At 43.1% G+C, this 25263-nt stretch overlaps 1 protein-coding gene across 2 annotated transcripts, besides 6 other annotated features; it reads right to left on the minus strand.

The window, feature by feature from the left end:
- Nucleotides 8168-8337: an enhancer, noted in NCBI's record as "experimental_92146 CRE fragment used in MPRA reporter constructs". NCBI's record gives its function as "activates a minimal promoter by MPRAs in K562 erythroleukemia cells, with activity observed for both the introgressed and non-introgressed 6:52695535 variant alleles {active_cell/tissue: K562}" and the evidence as "EXISTENCE:reporter gene assay evidence [ECO:0000049][PMID:34662402]".
- GSTA5 (glutathione S-transferase alpha 5) lies at nucleotides 9208-23761 on the minus strand. 2 transcript variants are annotated; one of them, XM_054328422.1, is made up of 7 exons: nucleotides 23572-23761; nucleotides 18243-18359; nucleotides 15074-15125; nucleotides 13752-13884; nucleotides 11657-11798; nucleotides 10375-10506; nucleotides 9208-9486 (listed from the first exon to the last, which is right to left on the minus strand). In XM_054328422.1, the coding sequence occupies exons 2-7, from the start codon at nucleotides 18327-18329 to the stop codon at nucleotides 9364-9366; spliced, it is 669 nt and encodes a 222-aa protein (XP_054184397.1). In that variant the 5' UTR covers nucleotides 18330-18359; nucleotides 23572-23761; the 3' UTR covers nucleotides 9208-9363. The 2 variants fall into 2 exon arrangements, with proteins under 2 accessions (XP_054184397.1, NP_714543.1); NM_153699.3 differs by lacking the exon at nucleotides 23572-23761 and having other exon boundaries at nucleotides 9364-9486; nucleotides 18243-18329.
- Nucleotides 12279-12448: an enhancer, noted in NCBI's record as "experimental_92147 CRE fragment used in MPRA reporter constructs". NCBI's record gives its function as "activates a minimal promoter by MPRAs in K562 erythroleukemia cells, with activity observed for both the introgressed and non-introgressed 6:52699646 variant alleles {active_cell/tissue: K562}" and the evidence as "EXISTENCE:reporter gene assay evidence [ECO:0000049][PMID:34662402]".
- Nucleotides 21188-21357: an enhancer, noted in NCBI's record as "experimental_92148 CRE fragment used in MPRA reporter constructs". NCBI's record gives its function as "activates a minimal promoter by MPRAs in K562 erythroleukemia cells, with activity observed for the introgressed 6:52708555 variant allele {active_cell/tissue: K562}" and the evidence as "EXISTENCE:reporter gene assay evidence [ECO:0000049][PMID:34662402]".
- Nucleotides 23615-23784: an enhancer, noted in NCBI's record as "experimental_92149 CRE fragment used in MPRA reporter constructs". NCBI's record gives its function as "activates a minimal promoter by MPRAs in K562 erythroleukemia cells, with activity observed for both the introgressed and non-introgressed 6:52710982 or rs78882075 variant alleles {active_cell/tissue: K562}" and the evidence as "EXISTENCE:reporter gene assay evidence [ECO:0000049][PMID:34662402]".
- Nucleotide 23700: a transcriptional cis regulatory region, noted in NCBI's record as "Neanderthal adaptively introgressed variant 6:52710982 (GRCh37/hg19 assembly coordinates) or rs78882075 in the experimental_92149 CRE". NCBI's record gives its function as "modulates activity of the experimental_92149 enhancer by MPRAs in K562 erythroleukemia cells {active_cell/tissue: K562}" and the evidence as "EXISTENCE:reporter gene assay evidence [ECO:0000049][PMID:34662402]".
- Nucleotides 23817-23986: an enhancer, noted in NCBI's record as "experimental_92150 CRE fragment used in MPRA reporter constructs". NCBI's record gives its function as "activates a minimal promoter by MPRAs in K562 erythroleukemia cells, with activity observed for both the introgressed and non-introgressed 6:52711184 variant alleles {active_cell/tissue: K562}" and the evidence as "EXISTENCE:reporter gene assay evidence [ECO:0000049][PMID:34662402]".

The raw sequence follows: 25263 nt of genomic DNA on the forward strand, positions 1-25263 counted from the left end.
CAGATCTCTAGAACAGAGGCACAATGCCACCAGTCTCTTTGCTAAGGCATAGCAAGAGTGACTTTCACTCCCATTCCCAAAAAGTTTCTCATCTCCATCTGAGACCTCCGCTGGACTTCACTGTCCAAATCACTATCAGCATTTTGATAACAACCATTCAACTAGTTTCTAGGAAGTTCCAAACTTACCCTCATTTTCCTGCCTTCTTCTGAGCCCTCCAAACTGTTCCAGCCTCTGCTCCTTACCCAATTTTAAAGCTGCTTCCACATTTTCAGGTATCTTCATAGGAATGTCCCACTTTTCTGGTACCAGTTTCTTGTAGTAGTCCATTTTCACACTGCTATAAAGACATACCTGAAACTGGGTAATTGATAAAGAAAAGAGGTTTAATCAGCTCACAGTTCTGCAGGCTGTACAGGCGTCTGCTTCTGTGGAGGCCTTAGGAAACTTATATTTATGGTGGAAGGCGAAGGGGAAGCAAGCACGTATTTACATGGCTGGCAGGGGAGAAAGAGAGTGAACAGGAAGGTGCTACACACTCTCAAACAACTATATCTCATGAAAACTCTATGAGAAGACAGCACTAGGGTGATGATGAGAAACCATTAGAAAACACCCCATGGTCCAATCACCTCCCACCAGGCCCCACCTCCAACACTGGGGATGACAATTCAGCATGAGATTTGGGTGGGGACACAGAGCCAAACTATATCAGGTGTCATATTTTTTTCCTGTGAATTATTTTATAGCCTGGACAGGTCTTACATCTGGATCCAAAAGGAGGACATCACTGAAGCTCCTAATCTTTCCTTTACATTTTTCCCCACTATTAAACATTTATTCCAGGACATTGTTGACTTATATTCTAATGGCACCATATATATTAACTGGGTTCCTTTAGGTGCATTTTAAAAACTGGTTATAAGGGCTGGGTATGGTCACTCACACCTGTAATCCCAGCACTTTGGGAGACAGCGGTGGGAGGACTACTTGAGCCAGGAGCTTAAGTGCAGCATGAGCAACATAGCAGACCATGTCTCTACAAAAAAAAAACAAATTACATCAGGTGCAATAGCGTGCACCTGTGGTCCCAGCTACTCAGTAGACTGAGCTGGGAGGATTGATTGAGCCCAGGAGGTGGTGATTGCAGTGAGCCATGATTGTGCCACTGCCCTCCAGCCTGGGCCATGGAGAAAGACCCTGTCTCTAAATCAAAGCAAAACAAAGCTAGTTATATGCTGCAGTAATTATTTAGTTATTCTATCAGCTTCTGAATTTTAATACTTGAGAAGTCATGTAGTCTGCAGATTCCAAACCACAAAATATTTTGCTCCCATAACCCAGAGGACATTCAGAATATCTGGAGTCATTCTTGGTTGTCACATCAAGGCAGAAGGTGGTGGGTAGTGCTTCAACATAGGTAGGTGGAGGCCGGTGATGCCTTGGAACATCCTATCATGAACAGGACAGCCCCTGCACCCAAAGAATTACCCATCCCAAGGAGTGCCAAGGGTAAGATGAGAGACTTTTCCTTAGCCATTTTCAAGGTTTGCTGTGAGTTGGTTGAACCCTAGAGAATGTGACTTGTCATCTAGCTAATTAGTGGGAAAGAATGAATCAGAGTCTAGTTTTCCTGACATTCAGAAACTAATTTATTCCTATTATAAATCAACCTTAATTTTGAATTTTCACAGCTATAAAGTATTACAGTTACTTATATACACATTGTGTCCCTACTAAATTGTGAGGTTCCGAAAGAGCAGAGAGGTCTCACAGTATGTTTAACACAGTGTATTGCACATGGTAGTATTACAATATCACTGATACTTGGATAGATCACACAGCAATGCTAGACATTTTAGCAGTCACAGAGATTTCTATAATTTCATCTTTTGAACTTACTTGAGAAAATCAAATGATATAGAAAAAATTAAATACAAAAATTAAATAATAGATTCAAGATAATGGATCAGCCAATCCTGATTATCAGACTCAATTTTCTACAATTTCACAGAATAAATAAAGATATGGGTGTGGCTCACTGAGTAGACCCAGAAGGACTAAGGAAGGAGGAATTTGGAAAAAGCAAGGTTATCAGGCAAGTGTTCAACTGGGCAAAGGACAAGGATTAACAGATATTTGTTGAATCAGGAAACTGAAAATTCACAATAAGGGCCATTATTGTTTTTGATTTTGTTAGTCACTAATCTAGGTCATCTTGCTTTGTAGAACTAATAGTTCCTCTCCCTCTCCCTCTCCCTCTCTTTGGTCTCCCTCTGTTGCCAATACTGCCGTGATCTCAGCTTGCTGCAACCTCCCTGCCTTGGGGTCCTGTGATTCTCCTGCCTTGGTCTGCCGAGTGCCTGGGATTGCAGGCGCGCACCGCCACGCCTGACTGGTTTTTGTATTTTTGGTGGAGACGGGGTTTTTCCGTGTTGACTGGGCTGGTCTCCAGCTCTTGACCTTGAGTGATCTGCCCACCTCGGCCTCCCAAGGTGCTGGGATTGCAGACAGAGTCTCGCTCACTCAATGCTCAATGTTGCCCAGGCTGGAGTGCAGTGGCGTGATCTCGGCTCGCTACAACCTCCACCTCCCAGCTGCCTGCCTTGGCCTCCAAAAGTGCTAAGATTACAGCCTCTGCCTGGCTGCCACCTCGTCCAGGAAGTGAGGAGTGTCTCTGCCTGGCCACTCATCGTCTGGGATGTGAGGAGCGCCTATGCCTGGCCACCCCGTCTGGGAAGAAGTGAGGAGTGCCTCTGCCCGGCTGCCACCCCGTCTGGGAGATGAGGAGCGCCTCTGCCCGGCCGCCCATCATCTGGGAAGTGAGGAGCGCCTCTGCCCGGCCGCCCATCGTCTGGGAAGTGAGGAGTGCCTCTGCCCGGCTGCCCTGTCTGGGAAGTGAGGAGTGCCTCTACCTGGCCGTCCCATCTGGGAAGTGAGGAGTGCCTCTGCCCGGCCGCCACCCCATCTGGGAAGTGGGGAGCGCCTCTGCCAAGCTGCCCCATCTGGGATGTGAGGAGCACCTCTGCCCAGCCACCCCGTCTGGGAACTGAGGAGCGCCTCTGCCCGGCTGCCCCATCTGAGAAGTGAGAAGTGCCTCTGCCTGGCAGCTGCCCCATCTGGGAAGTGACGAGCATCTCTGCCCAGCCGCCCCATCTGGGAAGTGGGGAGCACCTCTGCCCGGCCATCCCGTCTGGGAAGTGGGGAGCTCCTCTGCCCGGTTGCCCCATCTGGGAAGTGAGGAGTGCCTCTGCCCGGCCACCCCATCTGGGAGGTGAGGAGCGCCTCTGCCCGGCCGCCCATCGTCTGGGATGTGAGGAGTGCCTTTGCCCAGCTGCCTCGTCTGGGAGGTGTACCCAACATCTCCAAAGAGACAGAGACCATCGAGAACAGGCCATGATGACGATGGTGGTTTTGTCAAAAAGAAAAGGGGGAAATGTGGGGAAAAGAAAGAGAGATCAGATTGTTACTGTGTCTGTGTAGAAAGAAGTAGACATAGGAGACTCCATTTTGTTCTGTACTAAGAAAAATTCTTCTGCCTTGGGATGCTGTTAATCTATAACCTTACCCCCAACCCCGTGCTCTCTGAAACATGTTCTGTGTCAACTCAGGGTTAAATGGATTAAGGGCGGTGCAAGATGTGCTTTGTTAAACAGATGCTTGAAGGCAGCATGCTCATTAAGAGTCATCACCACTCCCTAATCTCAAGTACCCAGGGACACAAACACTGCGGAAGGCCACAGGGACCTCTGCCTAGGAAAACCAGAGACCTTTGTTCTCCTGTTTATCTGCTGACCTTCTCTCCACTATTATCCTATGACCCTGTCACATCCCCCTCTCCGAGAAACACCCAAGAATGGTCAATAAATACTAAAAAAAAAAAAAAAAAAAAAAAGAACTAAAAGTTCTAAAGACTTAGATTCACCTGTAAGTTCTAGGAAATTGCTCTCAAAACATTCTGCCTAGCTTTGGAGCATAACAACCTTAAAGAAATATTGAAAAGCCAATGGCATCAACACTTGACAACAAATCAGAAAGCACTTCCTGAAGGAAGCATTAATGTGTGATATCTACCATCAAGTTGTAAATCAGAATTGTGTTTGGCAGGTGTTGGTATCTCTTTGCTCAGCAGGAGATGGAGGTTTGGAGAAGCAACTGCAGACATGGAACTGTCTGCAACCTTGAACAAAGGCCATTGCAATCTTAGAATACTTCTGTTAGGGCATTTGCCCATCAACTGCCTGTTTAAACTTGGCCTGGCATTACCCTTGTTATTAATATTTGTAGTGAAAGATAAGTATTTCAAAACGTTTATTTAATCCTTATTTTTTCCTATAAAAACCTTTGTCTTCCTTAACTTCCCTGAATACATACATAATTTACTATGACAAACATATACCCATTACAACACTTAATTCTCAAATAAATATCTTTTATTTGAAAGGGTCTCTGTTTATTATTTAAGTTGAAACAATGTATCCAAAAGCAGGTGAATGCAGAACTTTTAAACTGTCATCCAAGCACACAGAGAAGGCATTAATATGAGTATAAAACAGATTTTTCTTGTGCCAAGGACATATTTTAAAGTATTTTTCTAGTGACCTAGATGGGAGGTCATGAGGTAATACAGGGAGATTTCTAACATTGGTATTTACTTTGTTAAAGGCTGTCACCCTTGGGGCTCAACAACTTAAGGTCCTAATGTGGTTTATAAACTACATGTTCATTTCAATAACTCCCTCCCATTGAAAGGAATAGAGTCAAGTTAAAAACAGCCACTCCCACATGTTTCAGGGCCACAGGACTGCCTACTAGATCCTAAGAAAAATGGCAAGTCATCATCTTATCACAAGGTAACTGGTTAATATGTTCCTTTTCAAGGTTGGCAATAAAAGTCTAACCAAAAATTTCAACAGATTTTGCTCTCTTTACAGCAAGTCAGTAGAAACTGGCTTTTTGAAGACGCTCATTTTTAATGACTTGGATGTAAGGACTAAGGCAGATGAGAAATCTCTGCTGGGAGCATAGCTGGCAGGGGATGTCTGTGAAGGGCAGGCTGATGGCACTCTGGAAGTCTTCTCTTACTGGGTTGCCACACAAAATACAGGGCACCAAGGTAAATATGAATTCCAGGCAAAGGATCAGTCATTTGTTAGTGTAAGTATGTCCCAAACACTGTAGGAAACATGTTTATACTAATACAGTATTGATTACCTATCTAAAAATTTACATTTATTTGGGTGTCCTGTATCTTATCCACCAAATCTGGCCACCCTGTTTTTATAGTGTTTCCTCTCTGCATTGCTCAAATCACCCTTCCTGGCCTCTGGGCCTTTGCACATGGTATTTGTCCTGACTGGAATATTCTACTTTCAGCTCCTACTGTATTTTCTCTATTGCGTCTTTCCCTACGTTAATTTGACATGAAGTATTCTATATCACATTTCTCCCTAGACCTTGAGCTCCTGAGAGCAGAGCCGCCTTCTTATTTGAGTCCAGTCCTTATTGTCTGGGACAAAACCTGGACATTGTAAGAACTCCTAGAATAAGATAGTTTTAAAATTTACATGGAAAAATTCTAGCAAATACTAAAGTAGAGAAAGTAATATAACAAGCCTGAAGGTACCCATGACCTGGATTCATCAATTGCCAGCAATATTTCTTCATCTATACAAGGTAGTGGATTAAGTTATGTTGGCTCCCAAGCAAGGTATGTTCATGTCCAAATCCTTGAGTCCTTTAAATGCGACCTTATTTGGAAAAAGGTTCTTTGCAGATGAAGTTAAGGAACTTGAGATGAGATAATCCCAATATATCCAGATATGCCCTACGTCCAATGACAAGTATCCCTGTGTGTCCGGAATTGGTGGGTTCATGGTGTCGCTGACTTCAATAATGAAGCCGCAGACCATCGTGGGAGAGTGTTACAGCTCTTAAAGATGGTGTGTCTGGGATTTACTCCTTCAGATGTTCAGATGTGTCCAGAGTTTCTTCCTTCTGGTGGGTTCGTGGTCTCACTGGCTTCAGGAGTGAAGCTGCATACCTCCTCGTTGAGTGTCACAAGACAGCATGTCTGGAGTTGTTTGTTCCTCTCGGTGGGTTCAAGGTCTCACTAGCTTCAGGAATGAAGCTGCAGATCTTCATAGTGAGTGTTACAGCTCATGAAGGCAGTGCAGACCCAAAGAATAATCAGCAACATTTACTGCAAGCAGCTAAAAAAACGAAGCTTTCAAACCATGGAAAGAAACCCCAGCTGGCTTGCAGTTCCCGGCTGGGCAGCCTGCTTTTATTCCCTTCTCTGACCCCACCCACATCCTGCTGATTGGTCCATTTTACAGAGAGCTGATTGGTCCGTTTTGACAGAGTGCTGATTGGTGCGTTTACAAACCTTGAGCTAGAGACAGAATGCTGATTGGTGCATTTACAATCCTTTAGCTAGACATAAAACTTCTCCAAGTCCCCACCAGATTAGCTAAATACAGAGTGCTGATGGGTGCATCCACAAACCTTGAGCTAGACAGTGCTGATTGGTGCATATACAATCCTCCAGCTAGACATAGAAGTTCTCCAAGTCCCCTAGCTAGACATAAAAGTTCTCCAAGTCCCCACACGACTCAGGAGCCCAGCTGGCTTCCCCTAGTGAATCCTGCGCTGGGGCCATGGGCAGAGCTGCCCGCCAGTCCCGCGCCCCATGCCCGCACTCCTCAGCCCTTGGGCAGTCGATGTGACTGGGAGCCACGGAGCAGGGGGCGGTGCCCATCAGGGAGGCTCCGGTGGGTGGGAGCCCGTGGGGGCAGGGGGCCGGGGGAGGGGGGTTCAGAAATGGCGGGCTGCACGTCCCGAGCCCTGCCCTGCAGGGAGGTGGCTGAGGCCCGGCCAGAAATCGAGCGCGGCACGGGCGGGCCGGCACTGTTGGGGGACCTGGCGCACCCTCTGCAGCTGCTGGCCAAGGTGCTGTGCCCCTCACTGCCCAGGGCCAGGCGGCCCACTCTGAGTGTGGGGCCTGCCGAGCCTGCCCCCACCCAGAACTCGGGTTGGCCTGTGAGCGTTATGTGCAGCCCTGGTTTCCACCTGCGCCTCCCCCTCCACACCTCCCCTCAAGCAGAGGGAGCCGGCTCCGGCCTTGGCCAGCCCAGGGAGGGGCTCCTACAGTACAGCGGTAGGCTGAAGAGCTCCTCAAGGGTGGCCAGAGTGGACGCCGAGGCCGAAGAGGCACTGAGAGCAAGCGAGGGCTGCTAGCACGTTGTCACCTCTCACCTGCAACATAGAGAACAGAAGACACAGACACGCAGAGGGTGAGGTGCTGGAAGCCCTAGGCAGAAAGTAGAGTGATGTGGCCACGATCCATGAAAGTCCAGAAATGCCAAGAGCCCCCGGAAGTTATAGGAGGCAGGGAAGGATTGTTCCCTAGAACTTTCAAGGCAATGCGGCCCTACTCTCACCCTGACTTCAGACTTCTGGACTTCAGAATTGTAAGAAAATGCATTTCTGTTGTTTCAAGCCACCCAGTTTGTAGCTTGTAGGAATCTGCGAGAAGAGCCACAAGAAAATGATGCAAACTCCCATGTACTCCCTCCACTACCAGGGGATTCTTTTCAAGCAAATCCCAGATAGCATATCATTTCATCTGTAAATACTAGTATTCTTCTCTAGCAAGGAAGAATTTCCTTTCTAAACACAAGCGCACTATGATTATGTTTATTATGATAATCTTTTATCAAATTAAAATTCTATAATTTCTTAATTTCATCAAAGTTTCAGCATTCTAGTTCATGTGTCCCATAAAAATTTCTTAGCACTTTGTTTATTTTGGTCAGCATCCAAGCAAGGTCCTTACAAAGCATTTGAGGGATATGAGTCCAGTTTTTTAGAAATTAATGAAAGAATAGAGACAGTCAGGTAGAGTGTGTGGAGGTTTGTGAGTTCTCAAAGCCCAGTCTCATATACCCAGGTTCTGGAGGTGCATAGAGCTGTGTATGGGTCTGTGCAGATGTCATTGTCCATTGGTGATGAAGCACTGGGGACCCAGCAGGCCAAGCCCCACACCACCAGCTCACAGTACAGGGGAGCAGACACAGTGGCCCTCAGGTGTTATTAGAGGCTCACTGGGGCCCGGTGGAGGGCAGAGGACAGCCCGGCGTTCCTGGGAAGCAATGAGGTAGTGTTAAGTGTGTCCACGGGGAAGGAGCTTGCCAGGCAGGGCTAGCAAATGCATCTAGGCAGGAAGGCAAGAGGCCCCACCATGCTCAGAGGGTGGATTGGGCTGGAGATCAAGGAGTGAGGACGGGTGTGAGGATACCTTATATATGCAGTCAGGACTCACTGCAGAATTCTGTGATTTTTTTTTCCAATTTGTATTTTAGAAAAGCTACGCTGGGTGTAAGTGGAGAAGAGACTAGAGCAAAGTGAAGCTGCAGGTAGGAAGCCTGTGTCTGTCTGCTCCCTCAACCACCTCTGCCAGTTGTGGGGAAGCTCATTCTAACAGGAGAGCTGAAATTGCAGAAGCCCAGGTGTCCTAGGGGAGATTAACATTATAGGCCCAGTATGTGGGTGGAGCTAGAAAGCACTCCTCATCTAAGCACTCTGGCACAATGACACACCACGGAAAAATGATTTTGCATATAGTAGTTATTTATACGTAATTCACATATACCATCTGTATCTTGGCAGCCCAGGCCTGAGTGGCACTGAGGGAACTGAGGGAATGTTCATGACGGTGGCCCCCACAGAGCCTTAAGGAGCAGAGTGAGGATGAGCCAGGAGCACACGCACTGTAAGGGACAACAGGGTGGCCTGAGAGCAGAGGGTGGGTCTGTTTGCTCTTCAATATTTCCTCACCTCCTAGAAAACTGAGGAATCCACAGCACACAGAATCGTTGTTTTGTAAATGGATAAGGAAGAACGCTTTTATCAGAAATAAAATGACTGTCCAGGAAAAGAAGAAAATGTCTTTATGCCATTACCCAGGATGGTAACTCTTCTCCTGTGCATACCTGAGAATGTCAGAGTGCATTTCTACATTGACATTTTAATAGATTGTATGACAAATGTTACAGGACAATTCTTGGAAAAGTCAAACAAACCACATAATCTATAGTTTCTTCTTTTTTACCAAATTTTTAATTCCAAGAAAGTGGTAGGTTAGGAGGAGATTAGAAATCTGAATTCATATCAGATACTAATGAAAACAAATCAATTTTAGCTAAGTTGACAGATAAGAGTTATTTATTATTTAATTAGCATGTAATTGGAAAGAGTTTATTAGCTTTACAAGAGGCACAATCCACACTTAGGTAAAGCACTTCATTGTTGCAAACTGTAGAATATTGGTCTGGCATGTTCTTGGCCTCCATAGCTGCTTTATTAAAACCTGAAAATCTTCCTTGCTTCTTCTAAAGATTTCTCATCCATGGGAGGCTTTCTCTGGCTGCCAGGCTGCAGAAACTTCTTCACCGTGGGCAGGTTGCTGATTCTGGTTTTCAGGGCCTGTAATCCACAAAGCACAGCCTCAGAGTGAAGCCAAGGCCGGCCACCATCATTAAGATGACCCAGGGAATGTGAGCCCCTCATGCCAAAGACCAAGCGAGTCCCCTCCATGAGTACCAGCATGGAGGCAGAAACAGACACCCAGTGAGAAATGAAGATAAGAGGAATAACATGTAGCTCACTTTATTTTCCCCAAAGATGTCTTGAAGTTTTAATCAGTTCAGTCATCCCTATCTTTCTCCTTACATATTAATCCTGTAGATTTGTGGCTCTTGTATAAGACAAGAAAAATCAATATGCCTGTGAGATATCAACACAGATCAGTCTCTAAGCAGAAGTAAAACTATGGGGAAATGAGTTGGAAAGGAAAATGTTATAGAAAACATTAAACACAAACCATGGGACCACCTTTTCTCAGTGACAGATACAGTGTCAGGGGCAGAGTGCTGGGAGAGCTGTGCAGAGAGGACCACAATGTCTGACAAAAGGAGCCAGAGCCCAGGGAGGAAACCAGATGGAAAGGGCTCTGCTCAGACCAATTCAATGCGGGAAGACAAGGGCACATGTGGGATAAAGGACATCACAGAGAACTCAGGAACAGAAACCACATTGAAATAGAGGGATGGGAAGAGCTGCTGGGCACTGGGTCCTTTCCATGATAAAAGGCAAAATACTCTTCATGGGTTAGCATGCACCACAAATTTCCTTTCCAGAACAAAAGTGTTTTCATTCTTCAAAATTGGAGCCTGGAAGCTCATTTTGGAGACCTTGGGGGCACTGAAGGGCTGGAGAAGGGTGGGGTCAAAACATGGTCAGTCCCGGGGCCCAGATATGAGATCCCAATATAAGAGATGTGGGGCTGTCTCTCTGGGCTGTGAAATGGGTCACCTTCAGCAGAGGGAAGCTGGAGATAAGACTCGAGTCAAGCTCTTCCACGTAGTAGAAAAGTTCCACCAGGTGAATGTCAGCCCAGCTCAGCTTGTTGCCAACAAGGTAGTCTTGTCTGTGGCTCTTTAAGACCTGGAGAATTGGAGGAATCAGATCAGGAACACATGCACACCCAGGCTGGGACCCCTGCTTCTTTCAGAGCCTCTCCACCCTGACTTTTCCCACCTCTGTTGCCTTATTGCATGGGTGCAGAAATCCCAAGCTTTCTCCACATTATCTGAATGAATGAGAGAGTAAGAACTATAACTCTGCTCACTGCTTGGTTGGAGGCCAGGCTACCATTTTCTCTTCTCATCCACATCACTGTGGTGTCTACACAACCCACCCAGCTTGCTTCTTCCACATGCGCCAAGGACTTAGCACCTGCCTCCATGTGTTCTGTCTGCCCCAGGCCCTACAGCGTGGAGCCCTCACATTCAGGATGTGGCTCTACATTCTGCTCCCTCCCTCTCCAATCTCCCTTGGGCAGTGACTCCACCTTCATGACAACACTTTTCCCCTAGAAGGAGACTATTTCAGAGTCCTCATTTGTCCTTGTCTGCCCTCCTCATTCCCTGCTCTATCTCCCTGGGTTCTGAAGTAAACCTGGGTGAACCTGAATTCATCATGTTTCTTACAGCATCGACTCTGGTTCCTAACCGGCACTCTGTTATAATTTGCAAGCTGAAGTGTTTAGGGGTGGACTGCACTGATGTCTGCAACTTACTATAAAATGCATTTTAAAGAATCTTCCTCTGCATCCCACAGTCACTCTCCTTTTAAAAAATACTGATCCCTGAAACACTGCAATATTCTCTGGTTGGGCAATTGGTTTCCTGTCTTCCTACACAGGATGCCAGAATATTTTCTGATGGATCACTTTCATCATGTTCTTCTTCCATCAAAGTCCATGGGGTTCCATAGACTCAACAGCAACCTCCAGTGTGATCCAGAGCCCTCCACAGCCCACGTTCTACTTATGAATATGAAATTTTGTTGAACAGAGAATTTAATGTTGGGGTCTGTAAATTAAAATTTTACTGGAAAATCATAGCTTGGGTATAAGTGGTACAATTGTTCCTCCAAGTCTATTTGCATAAGAGGCCTTGAGAGTCAGAGTGCTGCCTTGGTGTTCATGAAGTCTCACTGAAAGTGAAGGTCAGTGGCCCCAGGAATGCCCAGCCACTATTTTTCTACTGGTGTCTAAACTCAGTTCCCCTAAACATTGAACAGCTTCACTTACTTTTTCAAAGGCAGGGAAGTAGCGATTTTTTATTTTCTCTTTGACCAAGGCAGTCTTGGCATCTCTTTCCTCTGGTTGACATATGAGCAGAAGAAGGATCATTTCAGTCAAATCTACTATACCTTCTGTGTACATATCAATCCTGAAAGACAAAAACAACCAAACCATCAAATGCCTTTTGCCTTAGATTTTATAGGTTTATAAAAACCTAAGAAAATAGAGGGTCAGATGGTGGCAAAGTAATTCACCTCCAGTTAGTGCCTTTTATACGCTAGTCATTATGCTCTGAGTTTTACAGGTATATAGTCATTATGTTCTGATTTTTACAGGTATATTAACATTTATTTCCTAAAACAACCTATCAAGGTAGATAGATCTCAAAATTTTGTTACACACATGACCTAATACAGGAAAAAGAGCATCGGTGGTCACAGTCATGAGAGAAATTGGTGGAATCACTGCCAATACCCACTGATGCTGTGCCAGGATTTATCATCTCAATTGTGGCTTGTTCTGTGCATGAACTTAGTGTGAGTCAAATGGCCAAAGAGCTGCCCTCTAAGTAATCCTAAAAGAATCCCTGGCACAGCCATCTCAGCCATATTTCTTGTCCTCTCTCATCATTTTACAGCTCCCAGGGCTCCTGTGCCCCATATTAGCAGTTCTTCCAATTACACCCATGAAACACATTTCCACAGCCCTCTCCATGTGCTGTTGCCTAACTCTAGCCATGTGTGCCTTTCCTGAGACCCCACCTAAGAATCCCCTTCCCCGGTGAAATTCTCTATACAATTACAACCAGTGCAAACTTTTCTTCTTTTGTGTCAAACTAGAGTTTCACAATACTTTTTAAAACAAGACCTTTATTGACGTATGTTCACGTACTGTAATTGCAACCTGTTAAATTACACTATTGAGTGGTTTTTGGTGGATTCACAGAATTCTGTAAAAATCATCACAGTCTAATTCCAGAATTATTCTTATCACCCTGATAAGGACATCTGTACCATTAGCGGTATTCTTCATTTATCTCCAAGCCCCACTCCTTTACCTCCAGGCAACCACTAATCTACTTGCTACCTCTATGGATTTGAATATCTGGACATTTCATACAAAAAGAATCCTATAATACTTGGCCTTCTGTGTCTTGTGTATTTTATGTAACATGTCTTTATTGTTTAACCATCTTGTAGCATGCATTGGTACTTCATTCCTTTTCATGACCAAATATCTTTCCATTGCATGGCTAAGGCATTTTTTCTCCTCCATTTATTGATTGATGGATATTTGGGTTGTTTCCACTTTTTGAATACTATGAATATTGTTATTTGCATTGTTCATTTCTGTAAAAAATTTAGTGTGGATGTATTTTTGATTGTTTGGGGATATGCCTACTAGAGCAACTGCTGGGTCATTGGTAATACTATGTTAAAGTTTTTGTGGAGCTGCCAACAGTTCCATTCAGGATTTATTTGTAATTATGCAGTCTCATCACAACAGAGAGGAGACCCCTTGGCTTTGTTGGTATTGAATCAATCTGGCTGTTTCAGCCTTCTATCCATGTGTCAAGGTAACCCCAGCATCCTGGGCACCAGCCTCTACTAGCCCTGCTCAAGTGTTCTGGCCCATATAATTGGTTGGTAATTTAGGTTCCTGGTCATGATTCTTGGAATTACTGGGACCTGAGATTCAGCTTGTTTACAGCCTTCCCTCCCCAGGCCTTCATCTACAGACTCTCAGACATTCTATGCCTTGCCCTACGCTGTTGGCTGGAGTCTAGCCTCTGAAGTTCTGAGTACCTGAATCATGATTCCCCATCCTCCTCAGTTCATAGGGTTTATGAGTGTCTGGAAACCTCAGTCAGGTTGCAGGATCCATGGACTGCATCCTCTTTTAGAATCACCCTTGCCTGAACCCTCCCCATGTTCACTGTTCCCTCATCTCCATGGGACTCTGCAATACTGGACCTCAGCGTGCATCCTCAAGACCCAGCCTGCTGCTGGTCATGATGCCCTGCCATGGTCCCACCCACTCAAAGAAGGACTTAAATCACTCTGTGTTCTCTGTGGATGGAAGAACAGAAAATATACCATACAGGGCTCTCTCCTTCATGTCTTTCCCATAAAGGTTGTATTTGCTGGCAATGTAGTTAAGAATGGCTCTGGTCTGCACCAGCTTCATCCCGTCAATCTCAACCATTGGTACTTGCTGGAACAGCAAACTCCCATCTTAGAAAGAAGAAAAAAAAAGGAGTATGAAGTGTCTATGAAACCCACCCTTTTGGGATGAAAAAAATGGTTATGGAAATGACTAAATTTGTGAAATGAAAAAGAAATTATTGCCTGTTAAGTTTTCACTTGAAACAACTTTTTTCCTTGTTTTGTTTTTTGAGACAGAGTCTCACTCTGTCACCCAGGCTGGAGTGCAGTGGGACGATCTCAGCTCACTGTAACCTCTGCCTCCTGGGTTCAAGCAATTCTCCTACCTCAGCCTCCTGAGTAGCTGGGATTACAGGCATGTGCCAACATACCCAGCTAATTTTTGTATTTTTAGTAGAGACGTGATCTCATCATGTTGGCCAAACTGGTCTCGAACTCCTGACCTCAAATGATCCACCCGCCTCAGCCTCTCGAAGAGCTGGGATTACAGGTGTGAGCCACCATACCCGGCCCAAACAACATTTTTTAAAAGTTTCCTGTAGTTCTTCTTTTTCTTAAGCAGCTTCCTTCTACTTTTTATCCTGTTACTTCATTTTTGTTTTTATTTCCCCTCCAGATACATAGCAGGACTCTTGTATTTTTTGTGTTGATTTATCTTCATGGATGTTTTAGGAAGAGGTTGGGACAAGTTACAATAGGACTGGCAACAGGTGCCATTTAAAATGGGAAGTTCTCAGGGTAAGTCTCATGGTGTTTGCGACATCTAAGGCAGGTTCTGAGAGGTTTTTAATATAAGGGTCCCCTTTTCTGCTCTTCAAAGCCTGCAATAGTGCCACAGTGTTACTTTGTCACGCCCCCCCATGAAAGAAAAACCTCAAGGCAATGGCCACGTCGATTTTTCCTCCTTTCATCTAGCGCATGTTCTTGCGTGTGCTTGGATGGGGAGGGCTCTATGGGATCCTGTGCTGATAACCACAGCTCACTGACGGTCCCCCAAGCATGAAAACAGAAAAAGGGCTTTCCCCGGGGGCGGGATATCATTCCTCTAACAAATACTCTGAGAGGTCTGGTCCTTTTAGCTTGGAGAGAGTTGCCAGACCTGATCAAGGAGCCACATCCCTTCCATTTTAACCACTTTCTCCCTCTCCACCGTGACTAAATATCACCCCCCACACACATAGGTATTCCTGGCTGCTCAACGTTCCTCTGTACCTTCTACTAGAAACTCTCATCAGAGTTACTTAGAGATTGATCTTACCATTTCTTAACTTGTCCAAATCTTCTGCAGATTCTAGAAATTTCTCTTCCAACTGGAAGCAGAAACAGTAAATGGGTTCTTCTTAGTTAATTCTATTATAGACTTGTGATGTTGAATGGCCCCTATCTGGTGCATGATTTGGAGAATATAAGATTTCTGAGTTTCGCAGGATATACAGAGGGGGCTGGTAATGGCCATTTGGAAGTTTAGACCTAATTCATTGAGAAAAGTGCATGGGTCACAGCACATAGCTGCTCAATCTTTTAGTTCACTGCCACCCTGTTCTGATGAATGTCTATGATTAGGTCATATTTTGAGAGGGGACATCACTGGAAAGAAGGCACTGAGCAGTTCTCCTAGTTATGGTGTTGTCATATCTTAGTAAAGCCCGTGTCTCCAGGAGAGATCAGACCACAACCTTGTGTGTCCCCAGTGTGGGGTATGCCATGGGCTAATGGCCATCAAATATTCTGCCACCAAGGAGCCTCTGCTATAATTTATATCACCCCACTTTTCAGGAACCCTGCTAAGGGTGAAATAAGTTGCAGCTGTTGCACAGCTTTCACACTTGCAACTATAATTTTCTCTTCTGAAGTACATGGGACCCAATAGGGTAAAATTCTCAATTTAATAAAGGAATTAGAGTCCCACACTAACATTATTTTTCATGAAAACCTCTGGTTTCTGATGTGGTTTTGTGGGTTCAATATCACCATTTTCATGTACTGTCTTCTTGACTTTGGACATGTTACCGAAACTCTCTGTGTCTGAGTATGCTAATCTATGAAATGGGTATACTTACGGCACCTATGGTATAGGCTGATATCAAGATTAAATTACAAGGTCATGCAAAGCACTTAGAAAAGTAGCAGGTGTATAGTAACTGCTCGTTAAATATAAGTTATGTTTAGAATTTTGAAACTATACTTAGTTCTTGATCTACATCCAGTAACTTAAACATTGGAGTAAATTCCACCTCATCCTGAGACAAGTCACTTTGGTGGAAATAGCAGCCAGCAACAAGGCTGTCTCAATCTGACCAGAAGCTATGAGTGGTTGCAGGTATTTAATACAGATATGAAATTCAGTTATTACATAATGATGCAGTTGACTTAAATAGGCAGAATCTATCAAACCAAAAGTCTAAGCAAAAGTTATCAAGGTTTTCTGGATTTCAATGTTGTTATGATCTGGTTCCAATCTTGACTCTGCCTCAAAATAGCTGTGTGATCTAGGAATTATTGCTTAAAATCTTCAAGCCTTAGATTCTTAATCTGCAAAATGGGAATATAATATTTTCTTAAATGGAATTTTGTAATGTTTCAAAATGCATGATACAGGGCCTGACCCACATACATCAAGTAATAAATAGTAGCGGTGTTTCCAGTGGCTAATTATACTTTAATGGAGTTCTTTATGGTGAAAGATCAGGAATTTGGGGGTTTCTGGCTTGCTCCATGGAACAGAATTTGTTGTGGATCTATGATCACACAGGACCAGGATCTAGAGGTCATGGGGGTGTGTGCCAGCAATTAATAAGGCATCCAGTTCAGGACAAACCTAAGGAACGGTGGGTGGTCCAGGAAGGAGGGTAGACAAGGTGGGGTGGGGTTGGCAAGTGGGATGTGAGGACTGGGTTGTGATCATCAGCCTTAGGGCGCTGAGACCCCAGAAGCCTGAGCAAGGTCTGCAGTCAGCCCTGCCCCCGCCTTCAGTCAGGCTGGATGGAGACCTGGGAACCTGGGTTCCTCCCAGCCTTGCCCCTCCCTCCCTCCTGCTGAACTCTTCCTACCCGGGCTCTGAACACATCCCTGAGCTGCAGAGCTGATGTCTGCGTGACAGTGAAACAGGGTATTCATTTGTACAAAGGAAACAACCTAGAATGATAGTGTTTGGATTTCTTATGTGCTTATTTCTTCATAGAACTGAGAAAGGGTGAGGCTAAAGTCCCAAGCCTTCGTGAAGCAACGCACAAAGTACCGTTCCGAGGCTCAGGTCCACACGGCGCTGTGAGGCTGAAGGGGCGCGCTAGAAGTTCCCTTCACAGGACGCCACCTCACCTGAAACCCCCCTTTTCTGCTGCCACCCGAGGGACAAGATCTCCTGAGTTTGTCCATGACTCACTTCCCAGGAAAACCCTCAGGCAGTCGCTGAAGGACTCTGGTCTGGACTGGGAAGTGTTTTTCTCAGTGACACCTCTAGAGGGCAGCACTCAGCGGAGTCCCACAGACACCTCCAGGCATTTCCTACTCAAACACTGGGAGGATGACCTGGTAACACTGGGGAATGCTTGGGTGTTCTAGAAGCCTCCACGCCTCATTTTAACCACGTGTTTACTTGTCTGCATCCTCATAGACATGTAGGCCGCCCCAGGGCAGGGACTGTGTCTGTCTTGTTCACTGTCTATCTCCATGACCTAGTACAGAACCTGGAATTAATAAGTGCTCAACAAATAATTGCTGTGAATGTAGTCAATCTTTAATAGGTAGTTTGTTACAATCCACTCCCTTACACCTCTCATTTATAGTTTGCATTTTACCTCTAACTACAGCCATTTTTAAATATTACGTATTTTCATTTTTTTGTTGTGGAAATTATGAACATGAATAAAAATAAACAGAAAAGCATAAAAATTCTCCTTATATTTCTCACCTAGAATCAATAATTATCAACCAAAACCAATGTGAAGTTATATTTATGCCCACCTACTTCTCCTTTTGTAATAATTCCAAAGAAATCCCAGATCCATATGATTAATCCTTAAATACTTCAATGTGTTTTCCTAAAACACATAAACTGTTCTAAAGATAACCATAGTACATTATCACACATGAAATATTAACAATAATTATTTCATGTCATCAAATATTCAGTCAATATCCAAGTTTCTAATGCCATAAATTATTTTTTACAGTTTGTTTAAATTCTAATCCACTTAAGTTCTACACTTTTTGATTAGTTTCTTAATTGTATTTTAATATGTATGCTCTTAGATAAGAAGAAATTTTAACAATTTTTAGGTCAAATCTATTCATCTTTTTCTTAATTACAGTCCATTTTTATTTAAGGCACAATGCTTCAGTAAGTAATCATTGCATAGTTTCTGTGGGAAAAGTATGTGATAACGCAATTTTAAATCCAACTTAAGATGACCTTACTCAGAACCTACCTCTACTCCAGCTGCAGCCAGGAGCCACCGAATGGACTCCATACTGCCCCGTGCATTGGAGTAGTGGAGCTTGGGCTTCTCTGCCATGATAGCAGTCTCCTGGAGGTTTCTCTAAGCCTGAATGAATGAATGAATAATTGAAACGATAGAATCAAAAATGTACTTTAGGATGTGTGGTTGAAAACCACAAACAATGCTGAAGAAGAACCTGCCTTCTTCATGACTGGGTTGAAGGAGTTCCTGGAATGTTTTCTTGGCTCAAATTGTTACCCAGCAGTGGCCACCCTCAAACCAGTCTCAAGTCTTCATTGTTTACCTGTGACTTTTCTTGGCAGCCTAAGAGGTGAGAGTATGTGGTAATAATACATGTACAGGAGTTAATGGAAGGGGAAGAATTCAAGAACTAATATTTATTGAAAACTTCCTCATGATCCTTCCTCAATGCTAGTCCCTTTCAATATTTTATATCTTTAACCCTCCTTATAGTCTCATTAAATGGTTGTTTTCTCCAATTTTTAGTTAATGAAATCGAACATCAGAGAAATACAATGTTCACAGTCACACTCTGGTTGGTGATGGACATGAATATCTACACCAAGGACTAAAATGAAGTCACGCCTGGAAGACATCTGGGTGAAGGCCCTGGGAACCCATGAACTGGTTGTGAAACCAGAGGATGTCACTGACAGGGAGGACCGGCAGGGAGCTAAGTCACTCTTCAGCTCTCTGGCTGTGAGACTGCATTTGATCAAAACCAGAAATTAGGCTTCAGACTTGTTTTACTGTAGCTAGAAGATCCAAAGTCTTTCAACAGAGAATGCTAATACCTTGCTTCTTTTGGTGTTCTATATTTTAACTCTGTGGGGGGCATTTTGTTTTATAACCTGGCAAAAGAGATGTTGCTGCATTAACTTTGCAGGATATGGAAGGAGCTAGCATTTGTTCAACGTCAGTCATACACTGGCCATTCTTCTAAACTTCTCTCATTTTGTCCTACAAAAATCACCTAAGGTGAAAGGCTGTTGCTATTCTCATTTTACAGTTGAGGATACTGAGGTTTTTAAAGTAACTTACCCAGATTAAGTGGTGGATCTGGGATGCAGACTCACTGCTATTAAAAACTAAAGACTGAGTCTTATTTTCTATGTTAATGTTTCTCAAATATGCATGGTAATCTTTCAGTAGATTGTGAAACCCCAGTACTTTTTAAAATAAAATAGAAAAGAATAAAAATATCAGTGAGCATGACATGTTGAAGGGTAAGTAATGTTTCATGAGTTGTTAGTTTCAGTTATTTGTATATTGTGTGTATGGATGTTTGCATGTGTGCACGCTCACCTGCTTGTTGTAAATGGTTAGAGAGAAATTGACTGGGCTCATCAGTGAAGTTTGATAGCCCTTGCTCTATCCCAGGCTGTTTGGGAGGTGGAACATAGCAGAGTATCAGAGAATGAAAACCAATGGCTGCAAGGACAGATGCAACTAATTGTATCATGAATGTGAATGGAAGGACACAGGACTCATTGAAAGCAGGAGTTCCAGTGCCAGGACTTAGGAACAGTTGCATATTCTCTCCAAACCCCCAGCTCTGTGATTAAACATTAAGATTCTTCTTGCAAAGTTTTGTGGTTGTTGAGTTTAGAAGAAAAATATACTTGCCTTTAACAACTAATGTATTTCTTTTTTTTTTTTTTTTGAGATGGAGTTTTACTGTTTTTTTCCCAGGCTAGAGTGCTATGGTGCAATCTCAGCTCATGCAACTTTAGCCTCCCAGTTTCAAGTGATTCTCCTGCCTCAGCCTCCCAAGTAGCTTGGATTACCAGCACATGCCACCACACCTGGCTAATTTTGTATTTTTTGTAGAGACAGGGCTTCAGCATGTTGGCCAGGCTGGTCTCAAACACCTGACCTCAGGAGATCCACTTGCCTCAGCCTTCCAAAGTGCTGGAATTACAGGCGTGAGCCACTGCACCCGCCGTCAACTAATGTACTTCTACAAAAGTATGTATGACTTAAATTTAGACATCAAAATCTTTTTTTTATACTTTAAATTCTGGGGTACATGTGCAAAACATGCAGGTTTGTTACATAGGTATGCACATGCCATGCTGGTTTGCTGCACCTTTCAACCCGTCATCTATATTAGGTATTTCTCCTAATGCTATCCCTTCCCTAGGCCCCCACCCCACTATAGGTCCCGGTGTGTGATGTTACCCTCCCTGTGACCATGTGTTCTCCTTGGTCAACTCCCACTTATGAGTGAGAACATGTGGTGTTTTGTTTTCTGTTCTTGTGATAGCTTACTGAGAATGATGGTTTCCAGCATCATCCATGTCCCTGCAAAGGACATGAACTCATCCTTTTTTATGGCAGCATAGTATTCCATGGTGTATATGTGGCACATTTTCTTTATCCAGTCTATCATTGATGGGCATTTGGGTTGGTTCCAAGTCTTTGCTATTGTGAACAGGGCCGCAGTAAACATACATGTGCATGTGTCTTTGTGGTAGAATGATTTATAATCCTTTGGGTATATACCCAGTAATGGGATTGCTGGGTCAAATAGTATTTCTAGTTCTAGATCCTTGAGGAATTGCCATACTGTCTTCCACAATGGTTGAACTAATTTACACTCCCACCAACAGTGTAAAAGTGTTGCTATTTCTCCACATCCTCTCCAGCATCTGTTGTTTCTGACTTTTTAATGATCGCCATTCTAACTGGCATGAGATGGTATCTCATTGTGATTTTGATTTGCATTTCTCTAATGACCAGTGATGATGAGCTTTTTTTATATGTTTGTTGGCTGCATAAATAGACATCAAAATCTTTTAAATGTCTACATTTTAAAATGTGGGAGTCAATAGTTTAGCCTTTGGAAAGTAAAGAATTCTTTGAAATCATACTGAATCAACTTACCTGTTCTGTGATTAGATATTTTGATGTTGTACTTTCCTAACTTGGGAAATGCAAATAGCATTATTCAGCAGAAAGAAAGGGAGAGTGAAGTTCACACAAAAGTGTGGGGCGCGGTTGTTTAATTGTTATGGACTAGAGTTCACAGTGTCATGATTCCAATCCCCACACTAAGCTCCCTTAGCCATTGATTGAGAATCATGTTTCAAAAGGAAATGAATTTTTATCTTATATAATATTTTATCACAACACTCCTGCTGATAACTAACATATCGCCTCTCAATATGAGGTTTCCAAGGGTCAGGCTAAGACTGGGGCAGAGGTTACCGTTGAGCTTTGTTCAGTCAACACAAAATGAGAACCTGAGAGCTCAAGGATTTGCCATGGGTCACACACACATGCTCCTCATTCATGGTCAATATCTAGGGAGTGTGTCTACCTTCTGCAACAACCCTGGGAAATGGCTCCTAATAGCCATTCAATGGGTACATTGAGTTTCAGAAAGCTAAAGCACCTATCTCATGCTGCACACTTGGTGAGTGTTGGGTCAGCCTGAACTCCTTCTGATTGCAGGACCAGAGCTTTTCCACTCCACCTCATAATCTGGCTCTCTGCTCCTGTCTGATTATGTTGTTTTATATTTTTCTATTCATAGTATATTAGCCAACTAAATGTTGGAAGGAGAGGGTGAGAGGGGAACATCTAATTCATGAGTTCTTACTCTTAGCAACTTTTCAGGGGCTTGCTTGGAAGGAAAAAGTAATGAAAGTGTGTCTTTCTCTACTTTGACAACCTAAAATCCAGAGTGAGTTGAAGACTAGTATAACTGTATTTACATCAATTAAAAATGGGCTTAATTTGAAAGGAATATAAGCTATGGTAATTCCAGGAGTAAATTAAAAGAATTACATCTCTGAGGTGGTCCCAATGACACTGTTTCTTATCGGAGAGAAGGGAGAATGAGATAAACCATGACTCCTCCCATTACAAGGTTCATAAAAGCTGTAGGTTGTTTAGTCTCTGAGCCTCAATTTTCTCTTCTTAGAGTAGAGGTAGTTATTTCTACTTTTGAGGGTTGTTGAGAAAGTTAAATGAGATAACGTACAAAAAATTCATAGTAGGAACTCAGCAATGGGTGTTTGCTCTTGTCCCAGTGCTTGGAAGATGGGTGAGTCTCTGGACACATTGAGTAGCCCATGGATCTTCTTTCTTTGATCTATCTATCCATTAATTATTTTACCTACCAACAATCTATGTATATGTATCTATTTATAATCCTTATCTGTCTACCCATCCAAGTATGTATTATTTTATCTATCAATCGTTCTATGCATTTGTCTGTAATCTGTCTGTCTCTTCATCATCTATTATCTATCTATCCATATCTCTAGATCTCTATATTTTGTCCATGGAACTCTAGTAGGAATAAATTTTTATATGAATCCAGACATATCAAATCTGTCATATGGTGGCTCTCTGTTTCTCTCTCTCTTTCCTTTTTAGCTTCTGTACAGAGGTTAATGATATTCACTAATCAGTCCACCTGGATTAACAGGAAGTTTCCAGTGAATGTCCAAGCAGTGGGGCACATTGGTAACATAGCCTTGCTTAGCCCCATGAATTCATGTAGTCCCATGGTTCTCAACTGGGGAGATTTTGCTCCTCTGCTCCAGAGGACATTGAGCAAGGTCTAGAGACATTTTGGGTTGTCACATCTGCGGGGAGGGAGAGGGCGCTACAAATCAGATAGGTAAAGGGCAGGGACGCTTAGAAACCTCCTAGAGTGGGCCGGACAGATCTCCATTCAAAGAATTACACAGTTCAAAGGGCATCAACAGTCAGAGCCTCTTTCTTAGCTATCCTGTAGATTGGCCGTGAGTTGGTAGTACTCCAGAGACAGAATATGACTTGTCGTCAAGCTAATTAGTGGCAGAGGCTCAACTAGAATCTAGTCCTCCTGACATTCAAACTAATTTATTCTAATTATAATAAACCTTAGTTTTGAATTTTCACAGCCAATATAGTATTACAGGATCACAACTTACAACAATTATGTTTTGACTACTTATATAGAGAAAGAAATTTTTGCATACATTGCCACTTCTTCCAGCACTGATTATTCTCAGATTGTTTAAAATGCTACCATTTCTTTTTTCTCCTCATGTCATTGTTTCCCATACCATTAAATGCTGAGGCCCTGGTTTTCTAAATTCTTCATTTTTACATTTCTGTAAAGATGTATCCAACAGAAAAGAAATAAACAATTCTTGAACTGTCACCCAAACACACCAAGATGGCACGATATGAGTAAAAACAGACTTTTCCTTGTGCTAAGGACACATATTAGCATATTTTTCTGGGAGGCTAGAGAGGAGCATGTGAGGCAATGTAGAGGGATTTATAAGATCAGTACTTAGTTTGTTAAACTCTGTCACTGTCGTGGCTGGGCAACTGAATTCCAGGTCTTAATGTATTTATAAGCTCTTTGTTCCTTTCAATAGTTCCCTCCCACTGAAAGGAGAAAGGTCAAGTTAGGGAAAACCCACTCCCACACATTTCATGGCCAAGGGGCCACCTACTGGATTCTAAGACATGAGGCAAGTGATCTGCTTATCAGAAGACACTGGTTAATATGTTCCTTTTCAAGGTTGGCAATTAGTTTAAACAATACATTTCACCTAGATTTTGCTCTCTTTTCAAGTCAGCAGAAACTGGCTTTTTAAAGATGCTTTTTTTTGTGAGTTGGATGCAAGGACTAGGGCAACTGAAAAATCTCTATTGTGAGCATAGCTGGGAAGGGATGTCTGTGAAGGGCAAGTTGATGGCACCCTTTTCTTACTGGGTTGCCAAATAAAATATAAGACATCCATGTAAATGTGAATTTCAGGCAAACAATCAATAATTTTTTAGTTATACCTATGTTCCAAACACGGTATGAAACCAGATTATACTGAAATATTATTTACTGTTTATCTGAAATTCACATTTAGGTGGGTGTCCTGTATTTTATCTGACAAATCCGGGAACCCTATCTGCATATGCTTTCCTCTTTGCGTCACTCAAATTGCCCATAATATAACAAATCTGAAAGCATCCATCACCTGGATTCATCAATTGCAAATAATCTTTCTTCATCTATACCATATAGGGGGTTATGTTGGCCCCCTAGAAAGACAGGTCCATATAGAAATCCCTAGATCCTGTGAACGTGATCTTATTTGGAAAAAGGCTCTTTGCAGATGTAATGAAGTAAAAGAATTTGAGATGAGATCATCTTGGTATATCTGGAAAGGCCCTGAATCCAATGACAATTGTCCTCACTGCAGAGAGAAGAGAAGTCACAACACACAGAGGGTGAGGTGCAGGAAGACAGAGGCAGAAATTAGAGTGGTGTGGTCACGATCCATGAAAGTCCAGAAAGGCCAAGAGCCCCCAGAAGCTAGAAGATGCAGGGAAGGATTCCTGGAAATCACTCCTAATCCAAGCACAATGGCACAATGACACACCAGGGAAAAATAATTTTGCATATACTTACTTATATGTAATTCGCATATACCATTTGTATCTTGGCAGCCCAGGCCTGAGTGGCACTGAAGGAACTGAGGGAAGGCTCATGCCTGGGGCCTCACAGAGCCTTAAGGAGGCAGAGTGAGGATGAGCCAGGAGCACACACACTGTAAGGGAAAACAGGGTGGCCTGAGAGCAGAGGATGGGTCTGTTTGCTCTTCAATATTTCCTCACCTCCTAGAAAACTGAGGAATCCACAGCAGAAAGAATGGTTGTCTTGTAAATGGATAAGGAAGAATGCTTTTATCAGAAATAAAATGATGGTCCAAGAAAAGAAGAAAATGTCTTTATGTCATTACCCAGAATGGTAACTCTTCTCCTGTGCATACCTGAAAATGTCAGAAGTATATTTCTACACTGACATTTTAATAGATTGTATGACAAATTGAATGTTGCAGGGCAATTCTTGGAAAAGTCAAACAAACCACATAATCTACATTATTTTTTTACTAAGCTTTTAATTCCAAGAAAGTGGTAGGTTAGGAGGAGATTGGAAATCTGAATTCATATCAGATCCTAAGGAAAAGAAATTAATTTT

This window comes from Homo sapiens, chromosome 6 (genome assembly GCF_000001405.40).
Source record: "Homo sapiens chromosome 6, GRCh38.p14 Primary Assembly".
NCBI lineage: Eukaryota > Metazoa > Chordata > Mammalia > Primates > Hominidae > Homo > Homo sapiens.

What these genes read in the sequence shown, in the direction of transcription:
- GSTA5 (XM_054328422.1), bottom strand. Translation starts at nt 18,329, where the DNA reads ATGGCAGAGAAGCCCAAGCTCCACTACTCCAATGCACGGGGCAGTATG. An exon ending in TTTGGACAAGTTAAGAAATG is followed by an intron (nt 13,885 to 15,073) that starts GTAAGATCAATC and finishes CTTCTTTCTAAG; the next exon opens with ATGGGAGTTTGCTGTTCCAG. An exon ending in CCAGCTTCCCTCTGCTGAAG is followed by an intron (nt 9,487 to 10,374) that starts GTGACCCATTTC and finishes TGTGGATTACAG; the next exon opens with GCCCTGAAAACCAGAATCAG.